Here is a 7365-nt window from a genome sequence, read left to right as displayed (position 1 = left end):
TTTCCTCCAAATGTAAATTATAGTAAATATTTTAACTTGTTCTTGCCCTTCATTATCTCACTTATGAGTCATTGTGTGGAAACAAGCCTGGTTGGCAGAAAAATCGGAACTGGAAAGAGCTCCTGCTATTTCCAAAGGGGAGCTCTTGGCTGCTCGTGTTACCAACCAAATGACCAGAAGAGGGCAGTGCACACCCAGACGCTGAATTTTGCCCTAAGAAGCCAAGATGGGGAACTTGTTGAGGGGCAGCTTGGCTGGGGGAGGAGTGGCTCTGAGTTCCAGACATATTCTGTTGTCTGCTGCCTCACCCGCCACTCAGGCTAAGTGACTGTGGTTGGGTCACGGCCCGCTGTAAGTGTTCCTCTGCTTGGGATCTGCCTTTCTGTGCTTCCAGGTTTGCTACTGTAAACCAAAAGGTGCCTGCAACAGGTCTCAATTTAGAAGTTTATTTTGTCAAGGTTAAGGATTCATGCCCGAGAGACAGGTCTGTGCCTTTCTCCAAAGATGATTTTGAGGACTTCAATACTTAGAGGGGAAAGGGTAGCTACTGGGGGAAGAGGAAGACATTTTTAAAAGGTGTGAGTTCATAAGAGGCAAACAGTCGCATTCTTTTGAGTTTGATCAGCTTTTCTCTATGCCAGAAGGGGTAGAGGAACAGTCACTTATGAATTCATCTAGCTCAGTGGATCTGCACTTTTACCTAAGATAAAATAAACATAGGGCAGAGGAAGCAATCAGATATGCATTTGTCTCAGGGGAGCCGAGGGATGGCTTTGAGTCCTGTTCTTTGTCCCGTACCTATGAAGAGAAGCTATCAGTGTACTTTGTCGGGGTGAAATTCAACAGAACTGTTTCAGGGTTGAGACACTGGGTCCCAGAAGGAATTTCCCAGTGGGCAAATTGTGAGCGAGGGAGGGAGGGAGGATTTTTTTTTTTAATCTTTGTAGCTATCTCATTTAGCAATAAAATGAGAGACAGGTTTGCCCCCAGTTCCCAACTTCACTTTTCTCTTTGGCCTACTGATTTGATCCTGAGATTTCTTTTCCTTTCACACTGCCCCATGGGCTGGGCCCAATCTCAGGCCTGGTGTTGCTGAGAAGCTCAGTGCAGCCTGGGTCTCCCATAGGCCACAGGGCAGGCAAACCTCTCCTCAGAGCTGAGTGTGTGGTTCCAATCAGGGATGGGGCTCTAGCCAGTCATTGGGGGGCCAGTCAAAGCTGAAGATGGGGACATTCTGAGGACCAGGGCTGGGTCTGATATTTTGATTGCTTGAGTGGGCGACAGAGAGCAGTGTTTCCTTAAATTTCCCCCCAAAGATATAAATCATGCCCTTCGCAACCTAATCCTTTCCTCTGTATCCCTTTCACTCTGGTGGGAGGACTCCTTTCCAGCAAAATTCTTTCTTGGGAGCAAATAAGGACTGCAAACTGCCAGGTCCCTTTCCCAGGGAGGGGCCTTTCCATTGCCACTACATCATTTCCAGGGCCTAAGTGTGAGGCCTGGAACCTGCCTACTCCTTTCCCAGGAAGTGAGGATGAGGATGAGGATTGGGCTTTCATGGGAGAACTCTCCATGGCTTCTACCAACCCTGGGGCCAGTCCCAGTGGATTCTAGGGGCAACAGAAGACTCCCAACTAAGCTATCCAGCTCTGAGCCAGCTGCCAGCTCTTCCCCACCCAGTCATTTCCGCTGCCTGGTTCTCAGCCAGCTCTGGAGCCATGGGGCAGGCTGGGATGAGGTCTGGGCTTTGGTGAGAGTAGCCCCTTGGTTCCTGAAGGTGTGAAGCCTGCCCCTAACTGCAAAGATAAATGAGGACTGCAAAAGGACCAACCAGCTCCCCGACTCACCACTTCAGATGACTTCTAGGTCTAGAAGCCCTGGGGAGCCAGAATGAATCCCGGATCCTCCTGGGGAAAGCTACTCTGTTTTTTATAACATTGTCCTGTGGGCCAGACCCAAACTCAGGCCTGGTGTTGCCAAGAGGCTCAGTGCAGCCTGGGTCTCACACAGGCTACAGGGCATGCAGACCTCTCCTCCAAGCTGAGTGTCAGGTTCCAAACAGGGATGGGGCTGTAGACAGTCCTGGGGGTGCCCAGTCAAAGCCAAGGATGGAGGCCCTCAAGCCTTCCCCTCTCAAGCCTGGGGCAAGAGATGACCCAGCCACCTTCCTCTCAGCCAGTTGCTGGTTTCTATTCCACTCTTCATAGACCATTAGCAGCATTTGATCCAGATGACTGTCCTCTCCTAGAAACCCTTTCTTGGCTTCCCTGTCACTACACTCCCCTGGCTTTCCTCCTACATCCACACTCTGGATTTCTGTTGTCAACTGGCATCGTTCAAATATATTCTGGTAAAGAATTTTCCAGAACTAAAGACTTGAATTAACAGACTGGCAAAAGTATAACATGTGCCAAACAGGGTAAGAATGAAACTGTACATCAATAATAAAGACCAAGCTTAAAGGCAACCAAAGAATGAAAAAAAGTGTCAGGCTATTTTTATCTTCAAAAACAATAAATGTCAGTAGCAATCACAGTATAAAAGTGTTGAAAGAAAATAACTGCCCAACTAAAATACACAGCCACTTTCTGAACTCAATCTTATAAAGACTGAGTGCTCTCCCCTACACAGAACTACTTCAAAAGATTAACTTCAACAAGAAGGAAAGATTGGAAATCAAATATTTTAAGCAAAGAAGTATATTGATAGAGCTCAATAAGCTCAAACTACAAACAATTGTAGGAACTATATTTAGGATTTTAAATAAGGTATGTCTAAAAGAGTAGACAACAATAACAGATTCTGCAAATGTAAATCTTGGAGAAAGTTACACATGCTTAAGTATGTATCTTGTTTTGGAGAAGGAAAGAAGGATGATCAACTTTCAAGTTTTATGGAAAAACATAAAATTAGGTATTTTGTTAAAATTGTAAATGTAAACAACACAATTAGAATAGAATGTATATTTGCCATATCAGTAAAAGAAAGGGAAGGGAAATAAGATAATGCAATGGAAGGCAAAAAAAAAAAAAAAGAGAGAGCAGATGAGCAGGTAGGGGGTGAAACAAAGGCATGGCGTATAGACTGTAAGGTCATGAAATAAGCTCAAAATGTCCTCAGTCGCAGTGAATAACCATAGACTAATTATGCCCATCTAAACACAGGCTATCAGTTGGGATTAAAATAAATTTTTCATCAATATGTTACATAGAGAAGATATATCTAAAATATAAAAAAGACAGCCCCTTCCACTCTATGAGGACACGGTGAGAAGGCACCATCTATGAACCAGACAGCAAGTCCTCTTCAGACACCAGATCTGCCAGTTCCCTGATCCTGGACTTCCCAGCCTCCAGAAGTATTTAAACAGTCAAGTAAAATCAAGCTGGATAATCATGGCAGAAAGTGAGCTTGATCCCTATGAATATGTTCTCATGAATATGCGATGAGAAGGCTGACCAGTCTGTTGTGGCAGCCCCAACTCTGCTGCACAGAGACAGATGCTTGCAAGAATGACCAGGACCCTGTGATGATAATGGCATCAGCGCTACTATGATCTTGATGGCCTGGCTGGTGACTGCAGTGGTCTTGTTCCTACTGAGACCTCCTGATTGAAGAGGATCCGACGTACCTGAAAAGCCAACCAGTCCTCATAATGAACAAGATCCACCTGCTCCTCTTGTGGCTAATTTTGTGACATGGGAAGTGAAGGTGGTTAACACCTTGCAGGACCAAATGAACAACAATGACCAGAGTACTCTTAATTCTATGAGAACTGTTTTTCCTTTTGCATTTGCAATATGGGATGGGATGGTTTCCATGAGCTTCTAGAAATTTCACTCGCAAGCTTATTTTTGCTTCCTGTATTCTTGCCATTTCTAGTTACAGTATATTTGAGTAAATTATTGCATTTTTAAAAGTCACATGGGGTTGGTTGTCCTAAATTTAAACATTCCTTTCATTCTGCTTGTAACTGTGATCATAATTTTTGTGATGATTTCTGGTCTGATTGAAGGAAATTTGACCACTCTGCCTTTAAATATTTTAAATAGTTTTGATAGCTTTGTAAATTCCTTTTTTATAAAGTTATTTGGGGTTGTCTGGGATTGTATGAAAGAAAATTAGAATCATACTGTATTTATATTTACTTTGGTAGGTTATTTGTGGGTGGCAGTTTTCTCTAGTTCTTGGGACTATGGCAGTTCTTGGAATATTTTACAAATTGCAGCTGAAACCTGTATCATCCATTACAACTGGCTTATGTGGCTAAAGTAGAAGAAGAGAAGAAGCGAAATGGTTGTTTACTTTTTTCCTACCCCCATTAAATTGTCTAATATTAAGAAAACTTTAAATAAACATGGTTAATCGGTATGGTAGGTGATTCACAGTCCATTATCTGACTTTGTAACGTAGCCTTACACAGTTCATGAACGGAGGAAAGCATTCATTCTTTCTGTCTTTGCCCAGTATAATCTGTATAGTAGTAATTTAAGCTGTGATTTATGTTTAAAATGAGTCCCTCTTGGGAAACTTCTTTTCTGTGCTAATATTTGCCTGTTAATATGAAACTATCTGAAAGCTGTATTAGGGCCTGTTGGGTTACTAACATTTGAATGCTTATTTACTTATTTACTATATAATTTTATTTTAAAAAGTCTTTGAGGCTTTTATTATCCTTATAATGACTTATTAAAATTGTAATGAATTATTAGTTTATTTCAAGGAAAATGAGAAGCAGTCAAGGATCTTCTCCCCTTTTATCTCACTCCCGTTTTATTGGTAATGGGATGAGTTGAAATGAGAAGGAACATTAATATAATTTTGAAATGTATACAAAAGTAAAAGTTGCACTGTTTTGCTCAGTTTGAAACAAACTGAATACAAATAGCATTTTAAAAGTCTGCATGACCTATATGGTTGTGGATATTTTTTCTATCAAGTGATTGCAGATGATTTATGGGGACTAGAAGATATTTTGATATCAATGTAAGGAATTTTTCCTCTGGCAGTCTAGCTTTTTACTTTATAAATCTGAGAAATTACTTGTATAAACTGAATAAACTTCTGTATGTCATTGTACAGTTAAAAAACATAAAGAGGGAAAAAATTGCAAGTGAATGGGTAGAAACAGATAACATCATGTGTACATTAACCAGAAAATTGTTGCAACTATATTACTATCAAACAAAATAGAATTTAAGGCAAAAAGATAAGCATTAATAGAAACACAGTGAGGCATCCCTTAGTAGTAAAAATGAAATGCTATCTGCCTCTCCTTCCTTCTTCTCTGAGAATTGTTGAAAATTTCACACCCTTGGATCCAGCTCTTTCAATTCTAAGTCTAGAGAAACTCCTGCACATGTAAATAATGAGATCTTCGTAAGACATTGTTTGAAATAACTTCAAAATGTAAAGTACATACGTTTCCACAGGGAGGACAATGACTATGCCTGGCAAGTTTCTATGATGTAATATTATACAATTAAAAGGGAATCATCTAGATCTAAATGTACAAGTATGAATAAATAAGTAGCACATAGAATTACTTAGAAAACAAAGGCAGAATGATAGATCTAGTGTGATGCCATTGATGGAACTTAAAAGCACACAGTCACACATGCTAAATAATGTTGATGGATATTTACTATAAGTACAAAAACATAAATGGTATGGATACATACTAAGTTCTCGTTAGTGGCTGCCTCTGGAAGGGGAGAGGGAGGGAAATCAAACTGAGAAATACCACAATGCAGACCAAATTCCATCTGTCATGTGTTCCTTCATTAAAAAAATTAAAATATCTGAATCAAGCATAATAGCATATTGTTAGCTCTGGGGTGGACACAGAATTTGTTGTATTGGTCTCTGTACTTTAGTGCATTTATTTTAAAAATTCATGATAAAAGGATGCCTTTTCTATATCTTGCCCATTCAAATAACCCTCCTACCCATCAGTCCCTAGGAAAGTCCATAAGTAGATCAGTCAGGTGAGGCCTGATCAAGTGGTTCTGATGATAATGCCAAGGACTCCATTTCCTTTTGTTATTCCCCTCTGCCTCCCTTGTTGTCTGATTCATCTTGAGGATCCCTACCACGTTCTCTGAACAGCTCCAGTTGTTTCCCTCATAATTGCAAATGACTGTGGCACCTGCAAGCCTCACATTCTCGTGTCATGCTTTCCAGGGGACAAGCGGGTGTCTCTCCAATAAGCTTCCTCACAAAAAAGAGGAATCCCTCTTTCCCAGAAACCCTAGAAATAGACTCCTCACATGGCCTGTGTGTCTGTCCCTGGGCCAGTCACTACAGCCAGAGGAATGAGTGATAAGGGCCATGTGGCCTGGCTTGTTTATCTGGACCCACCCCAGAGGCTAGGAGTGTAGGCACCCAAACCTTGTGTTTGATCATGAGGTGGGCAGTTTCCATAAAACAAAATCAGGGAATTATTGGAGGGAGCCGAGGGCAACGGAGGCTGAAGCAGCAATTACAAATATTTATTAACCCACAGATCCCTTAATACCTTAATTATACCTTATCACACACCATGCCTGGTTTATTTATTCTAGTCTTCACCACCTGACTATGAAGACAAAATGTTTCTGGTTCATTCTTGATGCCAAACTGTGCCCTCCATGCCTCTACCACATAGTTAGTTTCCAGTAAGAGATTCTTGAATGGAGGGGTAACAGCCATCCATCTAAAGAGTGACCTGAATGCTCCAGAGAGCACATGATATCATTTGAAAGCAGGGACCTCAGAAATCTCTGGTTCTCTGCATTACGGGCTTCAGTCTTGTAAAACTGAAAAATATCTTCCTGTGATGACAGATAAATGTGGGTCATATACAGCACTTTCCAAGCCCCTCTCTCTCACTTGGATCTCAGAAGTGTGTTCACAAGATCTTATGTTTTTGGAAAATTTGGAAAAGTAAATTATTTGCCCCAAATTGGATAAGCCTACAGCATCTCTCCACCCTAACATCTCCTCTACCACACCTTCTTACATGTTGGGTAGCACTCAACTGCCAGGAACACTTTGGGGATCCAACGAAGGGGAGGTTAAGTTAGAGAGACACTCAGTTTGGTTCAGTGGGTTTCACATGAGTGTGTGTCATTGCTTCATTATACAGTGATATTATACTGTCCTTCCAGGAATACTCTTGTTGTTCACTCAGCATTATGTACAAAGGCAGAGAGAGGGCCAGAGATCATATCATATCATCATATTAAAATGTCATACAGTGCCTGGCAGTGTGCACAGTGCTGCAGAAACAAAGTTGGATGTGTATGGAGCCAGGTGCCAGTCTGTGAAAAAAATCTGCCAATCATCATATGTGTAACACTGTAATTGGAGGATTCTGTTTTCATT

The 7365-nt window shown here is 41.3% G+C and overlaps 1 pseudogene; it reads left to right on the top strand.

The window, feature by feature from the left end:
* Positions 1-3395: 3395 nt before the first annotated feature.
* On the top strand, positions 3396-3831 carry LOC124901821 (small integral membrane protein 14-like; annotated as a pseudogene).
* The last annotated feature ends 3534 nt before the right edge of the window (positions 3832-7365 follow it).

This window comes from Homo sapiens, chromosome 7 (assembly GCF_000001405.40).
Source record: "Homo sapiens chromosome 7, GRCh38.p14 Primary Assembly".
Classification (NCBI taxonomy): Eukaryota; Metazoa; Chordata; class Mammalia; order Primates; family Hominidae; genus Homo; species Homo sapiens.
The sequence above is the reverse complement of the archived record's forward strand: the minus strand, read 5'-3'. Positions and strand labels throughout refer to the sequence as shown.